The sequence below is a fragment of the Homo sapiens genome, chromosome 1 (assembly GCF_000001405.40).
Source record: "Homo sapiens chromosome 1, GRCh38.p14 Primary Assembly".
Classification (NCBI taxonomy): domain Eukaryota; kingdom Metazoa; phylum Chordata; class Mammalia; order Primates; family Hominidae; genus Homo; species Homo sapiens.
This window is the reverse complement of record NC_000001.11, coordinates 224,155,615-224,176,820: the sequence shown is the minus strand read 5'-3', so window position 1 is coordinate 224,176,820 and position 21,206 is coordinate 224,155,615. Positions and strand designations below refer to the sequence as shown.

Here is a 21,206-nt window from a genome sequence, read left to right as displayed (position 1 = left end):
TGGGATTACAGGCGCCTAACACCACACCCAGCTAATTTTTGTGTTTGTTGTAGAGACAGGGTTTCACCATGTTGACCGGGCTGGTCTCGAACTCCTGACCTCAGGTGATCCTCCTGCCTCGGCCTCCCAAAGTGCTGGGATTACAGGTGTGAGCCACCACAACCGGCCTAATTTTGGTATTTTTAGTAGAGACAGGGTTTTGTCCTGTTGGCCAGGCTGGTCTTAAACTCCTGACCTGAAGTGATCTGCCTGTCTTGGCCTCCCAAAGTGCTAGGAATACAGACATGAGCCACCGTGCCCAGCCAATGTTTTGTATTTTTATACACCAGCAACAGCCAGTTAAGAAATGTAATAGGCCAGGCATGGTGGTTCACGCCTGTAATCCCAGCACTTTGGGGGGCTGAGGCGGGTGGATCACGAGGTCAGGACATTGAGACCATCCTGGCTAACACGGTGAAACCCCGTCTCTACTAAAAATACAAAAAATTAGCTGGGCGTGGTGGCGGGCGCCTGTAGTCCCAGCTACTCCGGAGGCTGAGGCAGGAGAATGGCGTGAACCCGGGAAGCGGAACTTGCAGTGAGCCCAGATCACACCACTGCACTCCAGCCCGGGCGACAGAGCAAGACTCCGTCTCAAAAGAGAAAGAAATGTAATCGGGGGGCATGGTGGCTTTACAAAAAATTAGCTGGGTGTAGTGTCGGGTGCCTGTAATCCCAGCTACTTGGGAGGCTGAGGCAGGAGAATCGCTTGAACTCGGGAGGCAAAGGTTGCAGTGCGCTGAGAAAGCGCCATTGCACTGCAGCCTGAGCAGCAAGAGTGAGACTCCATCTCAAAAAAAGAAAAAAAAGAAATGTAATCAAAGAGATACTTACCTAGCTGGGGAGATACCATGATCAAGAAATGTAACCAGAGGCGTAGTGGCCTCCCCTAAGGCTGAGGCGGCGGCGGGCGCGCGAGGCTGTTGTGCTCCCGGCTCTCCTGTTTCCCCTCCTGAGCGGGTGGAGGAGGCCCAAGCGATGCTGGGCGCGCTCCCCCTTCCTTTCCCTCCGGCGTCCTCTCCCGGCCCTCTCGCGCTGCACTGTCTCTCCGACGCAAGATTCTCCTGGCCCGGATATGGCTCGTGGACAGCAGAAAATTCAGTCTCAGCAGAATAATGCCAAAAAGCAAGCTGGACAAAAGAAGAAACAAGGACATGACCAAAAGGCTGCTGCCAAAGCTGCCTTAATATATACCTGCACTGTCTGTAGGACACGAATGCCAGACCCTAAGACCTTCAAGCAGCACTTTGAGAGCAAGCATCCTAAGACTTCACTTCCTCCAGAATTAGCTGATGTTCAGGCATAAGGTTGTTTACAGGTGAATTCACGACACCTTTGACTCTTCTACTGTCTCAGACCTTAGGTAACATACCTGCAGCTGCTTTTCTAACAAACTGTTGATCAGCAAAAATAAAGGGGCTACAGAAACACTCATTTTTTATGCTGTTCCCTTTTGGGCTTCATGCAAAGACAATTCTGTGTAAATGTACAGTTGACTCTGATTTGGAAATATGAAAATCAGTCCATCCTTGTTATAAAAAAATTTTTTACAATTGTAATTATATTGATGTTCATATTGTGTAAAATAACTCATTTAATAAAATAGTACTTTGATTTACGAAAAAAAAAAAAAAAGAAATGTAACCAAAGAGAAAGATAGCATTTCTGATAACATAAAAAGTATGCAGGCTGGACATGGTGGCTCCCACCTGTAGTCCCAGCACTTTGGAAGGCTGAGGCAGACAGATCACTTGAGCCCAGGAGTTCAAGCCCAGCCTGGGCAACATGGCAAAATTCTCTCTCCACATGGAAACTGACCAACATGGAGAAACCCCAGATTTACTAAAAATGACCAACATGGAGAAACCCCAGATCTACTAAAAATACAAAATTAGCCGGGCATGGTAGCACATGCCTGTAATCCCAGCTGCTCTGGAGGCTGAGGCGGGAGAATCACTTGAACGCAGGAGGCGGAGGTTGCAGTGAGCCAAGATTGTGCCATTGCACTGTAGCCTGGGCAACAAGAGTGAAACTCTGTCTCAAAAATAAATAAATAAATAAGTAAAAATATAAATATAAATATAAAAAATAAATAAAGGCTGCTACTTTCCTAAAAATACTAGGTCTCTGATCAACTGGTGATGGGAATGGGATTAGAACTGCTGCAGGACCACTGGGGAGGGAGAGACAGGAAGAAAGAAGAAAACTGAGAGATTATCAACATTATTTATTGCTCATAAAATGTGTAGAAGCCAGGTGTGGTGGCTCATGCCTGTAATCCTGACACTTTGGGAGGCCAACGTGAGCTGATCACTTGAGGGCAGGGGTTCAAAACCAGCCTGGCCAACATGGCTAAACCCCATCTCTACTAAAAATACAAAAAATTAGTCGGGTGTGGTGGCACGCATCTGTAATCCCAGCTACTTGGGAGGCTGAGGCACAAGAATCTCTTGAACCCAGGATGTGGAGGTTGCAGTGAGCCAAGCTCATGCCTCTGCACTCCAGCCTGGGCGACAGAGTGAGACTCTGTCAAAGAAAAAAAAAAAAAAAAAAAGAAAGAAAGAAAGGGAAAGGGTGGGAGAAGAGGGCCCGGTGCGGTGGCTCACACCTGTAATCCCAGCACTTTGGGAGGCGGAGACAGGTGGATCACCTGAGGTCAGGTGTTCAAGACCAGCCTGGCCAACATGGTGAAACTTCGTCTCTACTAAAAAATACAAAAATTAGTTGGTCATGGTGGCAGGCTCCTGTAATCCCAGCTACTTGGGAGGCTGAGGCCGGAGGATTGCTTGGACCCAGGAGACAGAGGTTGCGGTGAGCCGAGATCACGCTACTGTACTCCAGCCTGGGTGAAGGAGTGAGACTCTGTCAAAAAAAAAAAAGAAAAGAAAAGAAAGAGAATGTGTAGAGCCTGAACCTGAAAATAAACTATTTCTTCTTCTGGCAAATGTTTAGAGGAGCAGATACAATTTAGCTACGCTTGCTAAAAAAGATTCTCCACAGTGAATATTCAAAGGGACATGTACCAACAGTCCTGAAAGAGGCTATACATCATGCCCCTCAGGCTAGGGAGGTACAAGTGTTCTCATAAGTTTTGTTTGTTTTTGTTTTTACAAGCTCACAGCTAAAATCGTGTTCTCATAGTTTTTGAATGCACTTCAAATGCACTATAATTTTTTTCTTTTTTTTGAGACGGAATCTCACTCTACGTCCAGGCTGGAGTGCAGTAGCGTGATCTTGGCTCACTGCAACCTCTGCCTCCCTGGTTCAAGTGATTCTCCTGCCTCAGCCTCCCAAGTAGCTGGGATTACAGGCATGTGCCACCACACTCGGCTAATTTTTGTATTTTTAGTAGAGATGGGGTTTCGCCATGTTGGCCAGGCTGGTCTTGAACTCCTGGCCTCAAGTGATCCACCCACCTCTGCCTCCCAAAGTGCTAGGATTACAGGCATGAGACACTGCACCCCACCCACATTAATATTTTTGAATAGGTTGTGACTATAATAGGAGCTTCTCTCCATGGCTGGTCAGCCTATTATTTGACAAATATGTTAAATTCTGCACAATGAACTATTTTTTTTGATACAGAGTTTCTGCTCTTGTTGGCCAGGCTGGAGAGCAGTGGCTCACTGCAACCTCTGCCTCCCAGGTTCAAGCAATTCTCTGGCCTCAGCCTCCCGAGTAGCTGGGATTACAGGCACATGCCACCACGCCTGGCTAATTTTTGTATTTTTAGTAGAGACGGGTTTTCACCACGTTGGCCAGGCTGTCTCAAATTCCTGACCTCGGGTGATCCGCCCGCCTCAGCCTCCCAAAGTGCTGGGATTACAGGCATGAGCCACCGTGCCTGGCCCAGAACTCTGTTAACCATCTTTACAGCAAACTGCAGATTTAAATGGTAGTTCCTTAAAAGCCCAAACTTTGAGGTCCAAAATATTTGGGAATTCCAGTATATTCAGGCATCATTCCCTTTTCCAAACCTGCCCTTGCAATCATATTCATCTATGTGGCATGCCCAGATTAGGGAATCCACTAATTTTATGATTTTATCCTTTGCTAATTAAGCTGAGATTTGTCCTCTTGGCAAATCTGTTAAAGCCAATGAATAGTCAGAACTCTCGGGAGTTATGTCAGCGTAGAAAAATTGATGAATTATCCCCATTCCCATCCCGACCTGTGGTCAATGGCTTTCATAGCTTTCTTTTTCCCTCCCTTCTTCCCTCTCTACTTTCCTCCTTCCTTCATTCCTCCTTTTCCTTCCTTCCTTCCCTCCCTCCCTCCTTCCTTCCTTACTTCTTCCTTCCCTCCTTCCTTCCTTCCGTCCTCCTTCCCACCTTTCTTCCTTCCTTCCTTCTTTTTTTTCTTTCCTTCCTTCCTTTCTTTCTTATTCTTTCTTTTCTTTCTCTCTCTTTTCTCTCTCTCTCTCTTTCTCTCTCTCACTTTCTTTCTCTCTGTCTCTCTCTCCTAAGCAGTCATTTTCTTCAAATTATATTTTTAAGTCAAAGAATTACCCCTCCTACGCTCCATGAAAACCTGATGAAAAGGGGATTGTTATGATCAAACTATAAAAGTTAGAGACAGAAAGAATAATAGAGATTAACAGGGGTTGGGGAAAAGGGGAGTGGGGAGCCAGTCTTTAATGAGTATACAGTTTCTGTTTGGGATGATGAAAAATTTCTGTGAATGGATAGTGGTGATGATTGAACAACTTTGTGAATATACTTAATGCTGCTGAATTGTACGTGTAAAAGTGGTTAAAATGGTAAATTTTGTTATGTGTATCTACCATGATAAAAAATGAACAGAGCCTCAGAGAAATTTGGGACATCATTGAGCTCATCAAAATACAGCTGATGGGAATACCAGAGGAGAGGAGAGAAAAGGGCAAAAAAAAAAAAAACAAAGGAAAAATATATCTAAAATGATCTAAATCTGATGGAAACATTAATCTACACATCCAAGAGATGCAGTGAACCCAAGTAGAGGCCGGGTGCGGTGGCTCACGCCTGTAATCCCAGCACTTTGGGAGGCTGAGGTGGGCGGATCACGAGGTCAGGAGATCAAGACCATCCTGGCTAACACGGTGAAACCCCGTCTCTACTAAAAATATAAAAAATTAGCCAGGTGTGTTGGTGGGCGCCTGTAGTCCCAGCTACTCAGGAGGCTGAGGCAGGAGAATGACGTGAACCTGGGAGGCAGAGGTTGCAGTGAGCTGAGATTGTGCCACTGCACTCCAGCCTGGGCGACAGAGCGTGACTCCATCTCAAAAAAAAAAAAAAAAAAAAAAAAAGAACCCCAGTAGAATGAACACAAGACAGAGATCCACACCCACATGCATTATAATAAAATTCTGAAAGCCAAAGAGAAAATCTTGAAACAGCAAGAGAAGAATGACTCATCACCGAAAAGGAGACCCTGATATGATGAACAGGTGACTCCTCATGAGAAACAGTGGAGGCCAGAAGGCAGTGGGATGGCGTATTCAAAGTGCTGAAAGAAAAAACTTATCAACCAAGGATCTGTGTCTAGCAAAACTATCTGTCAAAAATGAGGGCAAGGGGTCTGAGTGTGGTGCCTCATGCCTGTAATCCCAGCACTTTGGGAGGCTGAGGAGGGCGGATCATGAGGTCAGGAGTTTGAGACCAGCCTGACCAACATGGTGAAACCCTGTCTTTAAAAAAAATACAAAAATTTGCCAGGCGCAGTGGTGCGCACCCATAGTCCCGGCTACTCAGGAGACTGAGGCAAGAGACTCACTTGAACTTGGGAGGCGGAGGTTGCAGTGAGCCAAGATTGCGCCATTGCACTCCAGCCTGGGCATCAAGAGTGAAACTCCGTCTCAAAAAAAAAAAAAAAAAAAGAGAAAAGAATTTCTTTAGAGAGAGTTGGTAGCAGGTTGTGCTGCCCATCCTTGCTGCACACCCTCTGGTGGCAGAAGGAACTGTTGCTTTGTTAATTACAGCCAAGTGAAGAGTTTCTCAGAACCATTCCTCCAACTTGACTTTTGTGTTTGGAGAGACACAGGGACTGGTACCTGACTTGGACTTGAGCATGCCTAAAGGTGAGGGGAAATCAGAAGCTGTCCGTGGTCACTGAGTATGGACAGAGGGTCTCTGCTGATAGTAGCTTTTCTGCCAGGTTGATCAGGTATAGGTGGACCAGATGTGTAACCGTTTGACAAGGGCTAGATTTGGTTGCTGTCTATGGCCTCATAGGTCATGCATCCTAATGCTTCTTTTTGAAAGAACATTTACCACCAGATACCTAGGGCTAAGGAGGGGTTCCTATGAGTCAGCTGTATGGTAACTTGGAAGAAAAATTCATGGTGAAGGTAACCCGTGAGGAGATTATTTAAAAACCAATGGAGGGCTGACAGCAGTGGCTTATGCCTGTAATTCCAGCACTTTGGGAGGCTAAGACAGGAAGATCGCTTGTGGCCAGGAGTTTGAGGCCAGCCTGGGCAATGTAGCAAGACTCTGCATCTATCAAAAATAAAAATAATTAGCCAGGCATGGTAGTCCCAGCTACTCAGTAAGCTGAGGCAGGAGGATCACTTGAGCTCAGGAGTTCAAGACTGTAGTGAGTGATAGGGCAAGACCTTATCTCTTAAAAAAAGAAAAAGAAAGCAACAACAACAGTGGAAAATGCCTTGGGGAAAACAGCCCCAAAGTGTGATCTCTGCCTCAACCAAGAGACACACATGACAGATTCCAACCATACCAGTAATGCAGATTTTTTTTCTTTATTCTGTCTCTCCTCCCCACTGAGTTAGACAGCAGAGAGTCTTGCAGGAGGGGGAGGAGGAAAAGCAAAGAGAATAAATGGAAGACATCCTCCTTCCTGCCCTTCTCCACTGAAAAGGAGAAGCCCAACTCAAAGCTTCTCCGAAGTCCAACTCAGGCCTGACTTACAGAAAGAAGAAAGAAGCGGGAGGGCACAGTGGCTCATGCCTGTAATCCCAGAATTTTGGGAGGCCAAGGCAGGCAGATCACCTGAGGTCAGCAGTTCAAGACCAGCCTGTCCAACATGGCGAAACCCCGTCTCTACTAAAAATGCAAAAATTAGCTGGGCTTGGTGGCAGGCACCTGTAATCCCAGCTACTTGGGAGGCTGAGGCAGGAAAATCGCTTGAACCCGGGAGGTGGAGGCTGCAGTGAGCCAAGATCGCACCACTGCACTCCAGCCTGTGCGACAGAGCAAGACTCCGTCTCAAAAAAAGAGAAAAAAAAGAGGAAAGAAGCTTTAATCAATTGAGACAATAAAGTCTTTCTTCGGATCGGGCTGGATTTTTTAATAACTGGATAAAGGTGATTAATTTGTTAGTGACCAGGAGAGTCTACAAGGCTCTGGGATCTGCCTGAGATTCCTTCTGGGATCAGGGCAGAACAATGCAACAGGACAGTCTAAAAGAGCAGTTACTGAGAAGAAATGAATCTGCTTCCATTTGCACCCTTCCAAGTCTAGCTCATGCAAAAGCAGTTGTACTCAGATGACTATTTTACTCACCAGCAGCCACAGCTTATGAAAAAGGAAATTGACAAAGGAAGAGGGTGAAGGGGCATAGGCAAGAAGAAAAGTCTTGAACTAGTGAGCACTGAAATCAAAACCGCAGGCTTATGGTTAGAGAAATTTCCCCCATTTCATGTATGAGGAAGCGAATACTTCCAGAATGTGAGTGACGTGTCTTAGATCACACAGCTTAGAGTGCAGCAGAGGCTAAAAAGGGACAAAGGTTGTCTGGTTCCAAATCCCAAATAGAAGATGGACTCGATCCAGAGGTGACTCATGGTGGGGAAGGCAGGGGTCCAGGATCCAGGAAAACACCATGAACTGATAGAGCAGTTCTGCAGGATGAAGTAGCTTTTTCTATCTGTGTGAAGCCAACAATATGAATGAGTGGAGAAAAGAGCGCATAGCTTTCATTCTTCCAGAGTCTGAGTTTTGCAGGGGATTGACTGGGATTGAGAATACATTTGCAAGATATTTTGTTTTTCTTCCCAGGCTTTTGGTTTTTAAGAAAACAGTCTGGCCAGGCACAGTAGCTCACGCCTATAATCCCAGCACTTTGGGAGGCCAAAGCGGATGGATCACAAGGTCAAGAGTTCGAAACCAGCCTGGCCAACATGGTGAAAACCCGTCTCTACTAAGAATACAAAAATTAGGCTGGGCGTGGTGGCTCACCCCTGTAATCCCAGCACTTTGGGAGGCTGAGGTGGGTGGATCACCTGAGGTCGGGAGTTTGAGACCAACCTGAGCAACATGGAGAAACCTCATCTCTACTAAAAATACAAAATTAGCCAGGTATGGTGGCGCATGCCTGTAATCCCAGCTACTCGGGAGGCTGAGGTGGGAGAATCGCTTGAACTCGGGAGGTAGAGGTTGCAGTGAGCCCAGATCGTGCCATTGCACTCCCGCCTGGGTGACAGAGACTCCGTCTCAAAAAAAAAAAAAAAAAATTCTGGAGCCTGGGAAGTCCAAGATCAAGGCACTGGCATATTCAGTATCTGGTGAGGGGCTGCTTCCTTGTTCGTGGATGGCCGTCTTCTGGCTATAACCTCACATGGCAGAAGAGGTGAAGGAGTTTTCTGAGGTCCCTTTTATTTAATTAATTAATTAATTAATTAATTTTTTTGAGATGGAGTCTCGCTCTGTCACCCAGGCTGGAGTGCAATGGTATGATCTCAGCTCACTGCAACCTCTGCTTCCTGGGTTCAAGAAATTCTCCTGCCTCAGCCTCCCAAGTAACTGGGACTACAGGTGCACCCCACCATGCCTGGCTAATTTTTGTATTTTTAGTAGAGATGGGGTTTCACATGTTGGCCAGGGTGGTCTCAAACTGCTGACCTCAGGTGACCCGCCTGCTTCGGCTTCCCAAAGTGCTGGGATTACAGGCGTGAGCCACCGCACCCAGCCTGGTGTCTCTTTTAAAAGAACACTAACCCCATTCATGAAGACTTCACCCTCATGAACATAATCACCTCCCCAAAGCCCAACCTCCTAGTCTCCTCCCCTTGAGGATTAGGCTTCAAGGCATACATTTTGCGGGGACACAAACTTTCAGTCTATAGCAGCTGGTTTAATTGTTGAATACACTTCCATGGTTTAAAAATAGAAAAACATGGCCGGGCGCGGTGGCTCACACCTGTAATCCCAGCACTTTGGGAGGCCGAGGCAGGCGGATCACGTGGTCAGGAGATCGCGACCATCCTGGCTAACATGGTAAAACCGTGTCTCTACTAAAAATACAAAAAATTAGCCGGGTGTAGCGGCGGGCGCCTGTAGTCCCAGCTACTCGGGAGGCTGAGGCAGGAGAATGGCGTGAACCCCGAGGGGCGGAGCTTGCAGTGAGCCGAGATCGCGCCACTGCACTCCAGCCTGGGCGACAGCGCGAGACTCCGTCTCAAAAAAAAAATAGAAAAACATACAGGTGTCTAGTGATAAGCTCCTCCCAGCTCCTGTTCCTGTTGTTATGTTGTCAAACCCCAAAATATAACCACTGTTATTGATTCCCTGTGCATTTTTCTAGAATTTTTTTTTCTTTTCTTTTCTTTCTTTTTTTTTGACATGGAATCTCACTCTTTCTCCCAGCCTGGAGTGCAGTGGTGTAATCTCAGCTCACTGCAACCTCTGACTCCCAGATTCAAGTGATCCTCCTGCCTCAGCCTCCTGAGTATCTGGGACTACAGGCACAGACCACCATGCCTGCCTAATTTTTGTATTTTTAGTAGAGGTGGGATTTCGCCATGTTGGCCAGGCTGGTCTCAAACTCCTGACCTCAAGTGATCTGCCCCCCTCAGCCTCCCAAAGTGCTGGGATTACAGGCATGATCCACCGTGCCCGGCCTAGAGTTTCTTTATGCATATGCATGCCACTACTTAGCAGTACAGTCATGAACTGCTTAAAGATGGGGATGTGCTCTCAGAAATGCATCAAGTGATTTTGTTGTATGAATATAATAGAGTTTACTTACACAAACCTAGATGGTTTAGCCTACTATATACACCTAGGCTATATGGTACAGCCTATTGATGCTAGACTACAAAACTGTATGGCATGTTACTGTTCTGAATACTGTAGGCACTTGTAGCACAGTGGTATTTGTGTATCTAAACACATAAACATAGAAAAGAAGCAGTAAAAATATGGTAGTATAATCTTATGGGACTGTCATAAAATATGCTGCTGCTTGTTGACTGAAATGTGGTTATTCAGCATGACTCTATATTATTTCCCTCTTTATTTTTCACAAAAGTTAGTATACTGTAATATTGTTCTGTATTTTGTTATTTCCCTTAGCAGTCTTGGAAATACATATATATTTTTTTCTTTTAGAGACAGAGTCTCACTCTGTCTCCCAGGCTGGGGTGCAGTGGCACAATCTCAGCTCACTGCAACCTCCACCTCCTGGGTTCAAGTGATTCTCCTGCCTCAGCCTCCTGAGTAGCTGAGATTACAGACACACGCCACCATGCCTGGCTACTTTTTGGATTTTTTAGTAGAGACAGGGTTTCACCACACTGGCCAGGCTGGCCTCAAACTCCTGACCTCAGGTGACCCACCCACCTCGGTCTCCCAGAGTGCTGGGATTACAGGCATGAGCCACCACGCTGGCCTTTTTTTTTTTTTTTTCATTTTGAGACGTAGTCTCGCTCTGTCTCCCAGGCTGGAGTGCAGTGGCATGATCTCAGCTCACTGCAACCTTTGCCTCCCGGGTTCAAGCGATTCTCCTGCCTCAGCCTCCCGAGTAGCTGGAATTACAGGTACCTACCACCATGCCCAGCTACTTTTAGTATTTTTAGTAGAGATGGGGTTTCACCATGTTGGCCAGGCTGGTCTTGAACTCCTGACCTCAAGTGATCTGCCCACCTTGGCCTCCCAAAGTGCTGGGATTACAGGCATGGGCCACCATGCCCGGCCAGAAATATTTCTTAGCATATAGATAATTTTCTTATTTTTACTGGTGCCTAGTATTCTATTGTAAGGATATATCCCAATTTATGAACCCTGTCTCCTATTGATGGATATTTTATTATTATTTTTTGAGACAGGGTCTTACTGTCACTCAGGCTGAGTGCAGTGGCAGCTCGCTGCAGCCTTGACCTCCTGGGCTCAAGCGATCCTCCTTTCTCAGCCTCCCAAGTAGTTGGGACTACAGGTGTATGCCACCAAGCCTGGCTAATTTTTTTTTTTTTAATTTTTAAATTTAAAATTTTTGTTTTTGGTAGAGACGAAGTCTTGGTATGTTGCCCAGGCTGGTCGTGAACTCCTAGATGCAAGCGATCCTCCCACCCTGGCCTCCCAAAGTGTATTTTTAAAAATAATTTCTTTATTCTCAAATGATAGTGACTGGATTGATACTGGTGGGAATTGTAATATAAATTTCCTGGCCGGGCACGGTGGCTCAAGCCTGTAATCCCAGCACTTTGGGAGGCAGAGGCGGGCGGAACACGAGGTCAGGAGATCAAGACCATCCTGGCTAACGTGGTGAAACCCCATCTCTACTAAAAATACAAAAAATTAGCCAGGCGAGGTGGTGGGCGCCTGTAGTCCCAGCTACTCGGGAGGCTGAGGCAGGAGAATGGCGTGAACCTGGGAGGCGGAGCTTGCAGTGAGCTGAAATCGCGCCACTGCACTCCAGCCTGGGCGACAGAGGGAGACTCCGTCTCAAAAAAAAAAAAAAAAAAAAAAAGACACCAAAGGCGATGAAACTGTTTTCTGTTTGGGATGGCTGATGGTCATGACCTCTACTGGTTTCAAGAACTGTCCCTGACCAATACTAACTTTTGTATTTTCTTCCTGCTTTCTCCTCCCTTTTACTCTCCTTCCTCTCTTCTCTCTCTCCATTTTCTTTGTTATTGCTAAATATAGGGAGCTAAGGGTTGTTTAGCATTTAGATTCAAAATGACAAATGTGCCTTACAGTGGCATTTCTCAAATTTTAATGTGCAAACTAATCACCAGGTGATCTTGTTAAAATGCAGATTTGATTCTGGAATGGGGCCTGAGATTCTACATTTCACAGAAGCTCCTAGGTGATTGAGGCTGTTGATCCATGGGCTACACTGTAACAGGCAGTGTCCTCTTACAGTAGAGTTACAGAAACTGTTTATCTAAAGAGCACTTTCTTGTAAGCTTGCTCCAACTCTCCAAAGAAAGAACAAGCAGTTTAGCCCTCTCTTCTTTACCCCACCCCAGCTAATTCTCTTTGGCTTGGCCTTGCGGAGGGAAGCATGTTCCCCTTGTCTTATCACAGGAAAGTATATCTTAGGTGTTGTATTCTGGAGTCAGTTTTGCTATTTACATTGCTGCATCACAGATTCCTAACAAATCAGTTAATTTGAATTTGACTTTTGTACAATCCAAAGGACAAGAGGAAAAAAAGAGTTTAAAAACACAAAAGCTGAGAAAGTTGAAAGCTATTTAGTTGCGTCTCTTTGAACAGAATTTATTGAATTAGGGGAAGTTTATCTTTGATTTGTATTTCCTTTCCAGTTATCAGTTGTACATTTTGCTCAAACACCCAACTGCTCATATTTCTTCTGTGTACGATTTACTCTAATTTTGCTTTGAGGAAATGATTAATCAGAAACCAGAGGGATGTAGGCCGGGTGTGGTGGCTCACGCCTGTAATCCCAGCACTTTGGGAGGCCGAGGCGGGCATATCACCTGAGGTCGGGAGTTCGAGACCAGCCTGGCCAACATGGTGAAACCCCATCTCTACTAAAAATACAAAAATTAGGTGGGAATGGTGGCGCACGCCTGTAATCCCAGCTACTTGGGAAGCTGAGGCAGGAGGATCACTTGAACCCAGGAGGCGGAGGTTGCAGTGAGCCAAGATCACGCCACTGCACTCCAGCCTGGGCGACAGAGACTCCATACAAACAAACAAAAAAACCAGAGGAATGTATACCAGCGAGTTGAGATACATCTTTTTGGAAAGAACATCATCTTTAATGAATTCTGTAAGAATTGGTTCAGCAATTAACATGGGAAAGTTCATACAGGTGAGATCTTTTAAAAAAAGTTTTTAAAGAAAAGCAAAAAAGCAAGAATACTGGTGAAGATCCTTGGTTTCTAATAACGTGAATCTATTACACAGCAATTGAGCCACCTGGAGAATATGAAAATTCAAATTTCCACCCTCATCTACCTTCTGAAGACTGGGATACACAGTAGCCACCTTTATCTTTCTAGGCTATCTGGATGACTAGAATGCAGTAATGGTGCTAGGACAATTGACACCACTGCTGTCACCCTCACCCACAGTATAAAGTTATCTGTGATCTCTTTTCTGAAAATCTTAAGCTGTCTACAGGCTGGGGTTAAAGAACTTAGATAAGTTTTCTCTTCTTCAGAGAATTGTTTTCAGCAATTCCCTATCAGTTACACCTTTAAGGAACAGGTTAAACTGATTTATATAATTTTATTTTGTTGAAATTCTAACCATTTAGTTTTGGAACTGGACGTAGTCTTGAAAAGAGAACTAGTACCCCACCCTCGCAGGGTGAAAGAATTGGTAGTTGCTACTTTTCTACTGACCAGCAGCATATATTATACAGGAAGGTGACTTTTTTGAAACAGTCTTTCTCTGTTGCCCAGGCTGGAGTGCAGTGGCGTGACCTCGGCTCGCTGTAAGCTCCACTTCCCCAGCTCAAGCGAATCTCATGCCTCAGCCTCCCTAGTAGCTGAGACTACAGGTGTGCGACACCATGCCTGGCTAATTTTTGTATTTTTAATAGAGAGGGGTTTTGCCACATTGGCCAGGCTGGTCTCAAACTCCTGGCCTCAAATGACCCACCCGCCTTGGCCTCCCAAAATGCTGCAGTAACAGGTGTGAGCTACCGCACCCGGCCAGAAGGTGACTTTAGACATGTCAGTAGCCTTAGCGCACATCTACTGCCAGGACTTCTCTGATTTTAAGATTACAGGTTCTGGAAGCCTTTTAAACATTCTCTTTTACTTGTACACCTAGGGTGAACCCCTTGTGTGCAAATAACCTTAAAAGTTGCCTCCTCCAAGCCCAGCTTTTTTTTTTTTTTTTTTGAGACGGAGTCTCACTCTGTCACCCAGGCTAGAGTGCAGTGGCACAATCTTGGCTCACTGCAACCTCTGCCTCCCAGGTTCAAGCAATTCTCCTGCCTCACCCTCCCGAGTAGCTGGGATTAGAGGCACCTGCCATCACGCCCGGCGAATTTTTGTATTTTTAGTAGAGATGAGGTTTCACCATGTTGGTCAGGCTGGTCTCGAACTCCTGACCTTGTGATCTGCCCCGCCTCGGCCTCCCAAAGTGCTAGGATTACAGGTGTGAGCCACCGTGCCCGGCCTAGCCCAGCCTTTTCTTGATCTCAGTTCTATATACTACTGTTAGCATTAGTGATTTGGGCATTGACTGCTTCTAGTGGATGTGTGGGATGGTCTTGCTTATATTAAGTTCAGAGTCTCATTGTTCTCAGGTTTCTAGGATGCAGTGTAGTGTAGTAGCAAGTTTATAAACTTCAGAGCTCATGGGTCAAATCCCACTTACGCCACTTACTTGCATAACACTGTGGACATGTTGCTTAGCCTGAGTTCAACTTCCCCACGTAGAGTAAAACCTACTTTATAAGGTAGCTGTGAGGACCACTGTAACATCTGTAAAACACATAGTACAGTGCTCCAAAAGACAGTAGCTATCAATATGGTATGTTAGCAATAGAGCTCCATATTCTTTTGTGCATGAAATACAAAGAAAACAAGTAGCACTGGTAACAACACATTTATTTACGTACCCTGTTGTGTGACCGGGAGGTGTTTTTCACTTTCCAATAATTGATTCGGTTATAACAATTAAAATTCCAGAAGGTAAACTAGTAATTTATTGTTGCTCATAAGCATAGGTAAACAGACATGGTACCACAATAAAGGAATCTTAAACACTTCTAACCTTTTGGAATAGGTTTGAATATGGACCAATATACTTTGCCAATGGACCTAATAGATTACCAATATACTTCTAAATGTCATGGTTCTCTTCAGACACAACAGAAGAAATCTGGATCTAATTTTTAAACTTCAGAAATTTAACCAAGATGCTTAGGAAGATGCAAAAGGACAGCAGTACTTAAGCCTGTCATATTTATCACCAATATAACTGTATTGCTATTAAAAGTAAAATCATGGTAGGGAGCAGCCAACTAATTGCTAGTCTCAGTTCATAGATTTAGTATTTTTTGAAAATAATTCACCTCAGATGGCAGGCTATACAAGTTTAAAGTAGTTTTAACTTAACCTTTTGTGTACTAGTGAAAGCAATTCAGATAGATCCCAAGTCAAAGAACCAAACAGTGTATCAAGTTGGGTTTCATATCAGAAATCAGCCATTTCCAAACAACTGCATCGTATAGGACGTTTTCTTTCAGACTGCCTTTTATTCCTGGCTTCAAATCTTACTCACAGTATATGTTTTTAGAGAGTTTGGTAAGTGTAACAAATGGGTACTCATTGCTAGAGCAGGATATAAGAATGTGCTGATCACCAAGTATGAGATTTACATTACATTAAATTAAAATTATATAATGTTGGAAATAGACAATATAGGGAGTTCCCGGATCCTAGAAAATATTATGGCTAAGGAAACAGAGAACTCAAGAAATGAATCTACCTCCAAGAAACTAATTCAGTATAGTAAAATAGAATTAAGTGCCCTGTCTCAGGAAAAAGTTTATTAAGAATAAGGAACAAGTGGGACATCATACATCGTTTCTTTGGAGATTAAAGTGCAGGCTATGAAATGGCATATAAAATAATGCATAAAATAGTGCAATCTTAAGGTGCCATTATTTTTATTACACATAGCCTAGTTTTATGTCCATTTTCTCTCAAAAATCCAGCTGTAGTGACACCTTTTAGCTTATTAATTTAGGCATTACTTATACTGTTTTACCCACCTTTGGGGCTACATAGAATATTTTAACATTTTTAACACGTAGAATAATTGCGCATATATCTTGAAACTACTAAATAGAGATTAAGGCAAGCCCCTGTAAAGTTCAGTACTCCAAAAAAAGTGTTTTGCAAAAAAATTGCTTCCCAAATCAGTGGCTTTTGACCTGATGGTACCCCAATAGTCTTTAAAACTATTTTAAAGTATAATGACTCTCAATACATTTGCGTTTGCTCCATTATTTCCAGGCTCTGTACAGGAGTTTGAAAAACAACAGGTTCTATAACCTCAGAATCTGTGAAAACCAGTTAAGCCAAGTGCATGTGGGAGATAAGCAGAGGATCCGGCTGGGGTGGGGTAAGGTCAGCCGTTTCTGTCTCTTAGGCATGCCTTTTCACATTGCTATCCATGTGTGCAGCGCTGTACCAGAATACATTTCTATGTGGGAAGGACCCATTAACATGGAGACGTCTCCTCTGAAAAACAGCCAAGGAAGATAACGGGAATACTTTAAGAAATGTTGCACTAAGACAACGCAATATTAACAACACGCAGTATTTAAATACCTGACTTAAAATGCAGGGCAGAATGGTTCTCTCAGGAGGTTAATTTACAGTTTTCTTGTAACATATGTCAGTTCTAGCTGATCATAATAATCTGCGGTTTGTTGAACCTTAAATACCATTATGCTATCCATAGGTAAGCATAATGGCTATCAAATAACTGTCCTAACAAGTGGTGAAGGCAATATCCTAACATGTTTTAGCTAAATAGCCTAAGATTTAAGATTTGAACAACCGAACTGTAGTGCTTTATTCTCCTACTGCATGGAACATTCATGCATTAACAAGTACAATGAATTAGCTTTATGAATAGATGATTATAAGTGTATGCAATAGAAATTTGGATTTTGTAATAGAAAATTTACCTTGTAACAGTGTGACTACTTATTATGAAAGCCCTATACACATGTTAACTAATGGAAGACTACATAGATGTTTAGGCTATCTAGATGTAGTTTAAAAAGAAATTCAGGAAATTTTTAATAGTTCATGAATGACCATTAAAGAAACAGTCTGGGGCTGTATCCCTTTGATGCATACGGATCACACTCTGTAAATCTGTAAACACATGCTTTGATACGTAAAAAAAAAAGTCTTCCTATGACCGGAAAAGCAGACTAGTAGAGGCCCCGGGTATTCCACCAGGCCTCCTCTAAAGATATGCTAATATGGCTAAATACTATGATTATAAAAATGAGAAGTGCTGAGAAAACGAGTTCCAGACGGGGACTTTTATGGATGACCTTGGCTGACAAATGTTTTTTGGAAATTGTTTTATTTTAAAATTACCTTCCCAACAAACCATGAAACACTTGGATGTTACTTTATGGTTTTTCATTGAAAACATACTACATTGTAAATGGAATTTCAAAGTCAGACATAGAATTGATCAAAATCTAAGGACAATATTATGTAAGGACAATATTAAAAATGGATAGAAAAAGCTTCATTTGGTGAGGTTAATCTAAAGGATGCATAACCATGTCACGGTGGACGGATAAAAAAGGTGATAACCTTGTGCTTTTATTCAACTAAGGTACTTACCAAAACCTTAGGTTTTATACAGGTGTTAAGCTCCCACCTGGAAAGGGACAGTTTTCTATATTACACCTAAATTTACTTTAAATAACTGAAGCCCAAGGAAACAGTTGTTTAAAAGAACTTAACAGTCAAATAGCTACATAATTTAGTAAATTAAAATACAACTAAGACAGTGATAATTGAATGTCTCAAAACTATACAACTGGGGAAAATAACCACTGTACACAATTTGGAGGTTGTTAAAGCGACCACTCAGGAGGTTGAACAGTGCAAGACATGCTTTTCCAGTTACAAGCTCAAAATAGGAGTGCAAACAAAATTAAAGCTTTTGTTTAAAGTTGTAGGGTAAGGAAAGCTTGAAACTAATATTAAAAAGCTTCCCTCAAGGTCATCCTCCAGAAATGAAATAATCAAAATGCTTTTTCATGGTACAATTTTCCTCAATGAACTTTGCTGCAATGGCAAAACTGCATCCCGCAAGTCGAGTCCCCTACTCACTCACCACATCTGATCAATGATCACATGGTGGTGAGCAAAGAGGAGTATTAGCTCCCAGAGGTCCAATATTGATAGAAAGAGCCTTGAAATTTGGGGTTCTGCCTTAGCCAGTGTACCTGAACCCTACAGAGAGCAGATAAAGCAATGGGCTTTAATAGTCTCTTGTTCCTATAAAACTGGAGGACAAATGGATGAACAATTCCCCCTCTAGAGGCAAGCTGTTGCGGTGGAAGATGTTAAGCGTTTAAATAAACTAAGACGCCGCTCTAAAAAGTGGAGAAGTATAGAGGTTCAAGATCAATACCAGTGCAAGAGCTTTTTAAGTGAGTTGACTAGGCAATGCATGCATCCATCCATGCAAATGTAGGACATGGCCCCCAAAGAGAACTGAAAACATGTATAACAGCTGGGTAAGTTCCTTGCCAGTAGTTTATAAAAATATATAGTCAATATTGTAGAGGCTCCTTCTACAGTCAATACTATGGAAGTCCATTTTAGTTACCCATTACTTCAATACCAAAAAGCATTAACTACTTTTCAGACATTCCAGACAAAGGTCACTTATAACAAAAAGATGACTTAAAAAAAAAAGAACCAAGATAGTGTCCATTTAAAAAGTAGGTCTTTTCTTTCAAGTGAACAGGACATTTTCTGTATTAAACTTAACTTCTAGTCTGTCAAGACTGGGTTTAAGATCCTTACGTATGTATGTGCATATATGCAGAAACAAATTAACTTACTTTCAACATTATCTGCACAGAAAAAAGTTAACTCCTCAAAACATGATAGAACAGGTCTGGTTAGTACAAATCTATTGCAAAGTAAAAAGATTCTGTGCATCAGTTCAATCAGGAGAAGCAGGAAAAGAATGTCCCAACCATAAGAGTTCAAGTTTAAGTTGTGTTCTGAAAGCCTAGAAGCTTAAGGGACACCATGTTGCTCACAGTATCCTGATATGCATAACTGCTTAAGCTACTAAGCTGTGTCTTCCTCTGGAACTAGAACCACATTCCAATTTACTTTCTATTCCGAAGACGTTTAGATTTCCTAAGAGAGTCTATGGCTTCCGTGGCCTTTTTTCGTTTCCGAGGAGACTCCTCATTCTGCCCGGACCCTGAGGAATTTCCTACAGCACTTTCCATTACTTCTCGTAGTTTGCGTTCTAGCTCTGCCAACCGTGCATTTTGTTCACCTATGATCTGGGTCTGCTCTAGCAGTTTCTGGTCCTGGTCTTGAAGCTGTTTTTGCTGTTCTTGCACTTTGGTGCGAAGCTCAGAAATTTCACGCCTGAGAACAGTCACGCCAGCACCATTTGTTTTAACCTGCTGCTGGAGTTTGGTAACCTCTTGTCTTGAAGGATTTTGCTTGGAGAAGAGCTGCATTGTTGTTAGGGCTGCAGACGGTCCTGGAACTGTGGAGGAATAATTCAAAAGGGTCAGTCACTTAAAATGTCTCTCTACCAGTAATACTTACACTTATTTAAAAATGGAATACCCTTACTATGTCACTTCTGATAATTTCTTCTTCTTTGCAATCCATTTGGTCAGTTGGGTTAATCATCATAATTTAACACCTTATTTTAACTATAAATGAGTTTAAATTCTGATTCTCCTGCTCATGTGGCAGTATGTAGACTGCCAGGAAACGGAGAAGGGCATTTAATGGCATAAACTTGAATTTAAAATACTGTACAATATTTTTAGAACCTAGTAACAAAATACAAGCAGTAAAATTAGAAAATAATAATTTTTTTTTTTTTTTGAGACAGAGTCTCACTCTATTGCCCAGGCTGGAGTGCAGTGGCGTGATCTCGGCTCACTGCAAGCTCCGCCTCCTGGGTTCACGCCATTCTCCTGCCTCAGCCTCCCAAGTAGCTGGGACTACAGGCACCCGCCACCACGCCTGGCTAATTTCTTTTCGTATTTTTAGTAGAGATGGGGTTTCACCATGTTAGCCAGGATGGTGTGGATCTCCTGACCTCATGATCTGCCTGCCTCGGCCTCCCGAAGTGCTGGGATTACAGGCGTGAGCCACTGCGCCCGGTCAGAAAATAATTATTTTCTATCTAATTCACATAACAAACATAAACTTTCAAGTTAGAAGTACACACCTACAGGTTGCACGTTTCTAATCCAGAAATCTGAAATCCAAAATCTGCAACTTCTTGAGCACCAACATGATGCTCAAGGAAATGCTCATTGGAGCATTTTGGAATGTGGGTATGCGGATAAGAGATTGTGCAGCCAGTAAGTGTAATGCAAATGTTCCAAAATCTGAAAAAAAGCCGAAATCTGAAACACTTCTGGTCCTAAGAAATTCGGATAAGGGATACTCAGCCTGTATCGTGTTCTTAAGTTCACTCTGCACTTAAGTTATATACAAAGGCTTCAACTTTAGCCAAATGATAGGGACTCCACTAAACAGTGGGTTACATCATACATTATGACCACAGAGAATTCCTGACATGGTGTAGGAAGGCCTTGGACCTATTCTTTTAGGAATAATTAGAATGTAACACAAGCATAAAAATAACTATTTTAAACAAAGAACCTACTTTCTTTTAAACTTATCTACTGAAGGTTTTCTAAAAGAACCAGATGGGTCCATTCATATCCTAAACCATAATGTTAATCTTCTCCTTGCACATCTAAATAACTGTATTTCCTTTATGGATGCATTCTTCTTTCCCTCTCTGCTTATCCGTATCCAACTTCTACTTATTCACCAAGGCTTAAATCAATCGTTACTTCCTGTGATGTTTCCATCAGACCAGCCAACACTGATCTTATCTACCTTAAAATTGTTTCTCTGCTCTCATTTGACATTTAATTGGACATTGCCTTATTTGTTTTGCCTATGATAATTTATTTAACTTCAAGTCTGGGTATATCTTACCTTTTGAAATAGTAAGATCCTTGAGAGCAGACACCACGTATTACACTTCTTTTTAGTCTCCACAGGACACAGTACAGTGCTGTGCGCATAATAGGTACTCAATAAATAACAGATACATTAATGCTGAGATGTGTAGGCTTTATTACTCAATTACAGAAAGCCACTCGGTTGCCTCACTGAGTACTACAGGGAGCTAACTAATCTGAACAAAACAAAAAGTTTTACTAAATTCTTTCCTAATTTAAAGTACTTG

General features: G+C 43.0%; 1 protein-coding gene and 1 pseudogene across 3 annotated transcripts in view, besides 5 other annotated features; one reads left to right on the top strand and one right to left on the bottom strand.

The window, feature by feature from the left end:
* Window positions 911-1,674, top strand: LOC724084 (zinc finger protein 706 pseudogene; annotated as a pseudogene).
* Window positions 5,761-6,730: an enhancer, noted in NCBI's record as "H3K27ac-H3K4me1 hESC enhancer chr1:224357793-224358762 (GRCh37/hg19 assembly coordinates)". NCBI's record gives its function as "activates a minimal SCP1, AML or CMV promoter by ChIP-STARR-seq in primed H9 embryonic stem cells {active_cell/tissue: H9 hESC(primed)}" and the evidence as "EXISTENCE:reporter gene assay evidence [ECO:0000049][PMID:30033119]".
* Window positions 6,731-7,700: an enhancer, noted in NCBI's record as "H3K27ac-H3K4me1 hESC enhancer chr1:224356823-224357792 (GRCh37/hg19 assembly coordinates)". NCBI's record gives its function as "activates a minimal SCP1, AML or CMV promoter by ChIP-STARR-seq in primed H9 embryonic stem cells {active_cell/tissue: H9 hESC(primed)}" and the evidence as "EXISTENCE:reporter gene assay evidence [ECO:0000049][PMID:30033119]".
* Window positions 13,909-14,409: an enhancer, noted in NCBI's record as "H3K27ac hESC enhancer chr1:224350114-224350614 (GRCh37/hg19 assembly coordinates)". NCBI's record gives its function as "activates a minimal SCP1, AML or CMV promoter by ChIP-STARR-seq in naive H9 embryonic stem cells {active_cell/tissue: H9 hESC(naive)}" and the evidence as "EXISTENCE:reporter gene assay evidence [ECO:0000049][PMID:30033119]".
* FBXO28 (F-box protein 28) overlaps window positions 14,774-21,206 on the bottom strand; it is a 47,937-nt gene continuing 41,504 nt past the window's right edge. For all 3 annotated transcript variants that reach the window (NR_049764.2, NM_015176.4, NM_001136115.3), the window contains one exon: window positions 14,774-19,469. Coding sequence is in view for 2 of the 3 variants with exons in the window: in NM_015176.4 (NP_055991.1) it covers window positions 19,075-19,469 (395 nt within the window). In the remaining variant the exon portion in view is untranslated. The remainder of the gene's footprint in view (window positions 19,470-21,206) is intronic.
* Window positions 16,180-16,474: an enhancer, noted in NCBI's record as "tiled region #12248; K562 Activating DNase matched - State 5:Enh". NCBI's record gives its function as "activates a minimal TATA promoter and a strong SV40 promoter by Sharpr-MPRA in K562 cells {active_cell/tissue: K562}" and the evidence as "EXISTENCE:reporter gene assay evidence [ECO:0000049][PMID:27701403]".
* Window positions 16,180-16,474: a silencer, noted in NCBI's record as "tiled region #12248; HepG2 Repressive non-DNase unmatched - State 15:Elon". NCBI's record gives its function as "weakly represses a minimal TATA promoter and a strong SV40 promoter by Sharpr-MPRA in HepG2 cells {active_cell/tissue: HepG2}" and the evidence as "EXISTENCE:reporter gene assay evidence [ECO:0000049][PMID:27701403]".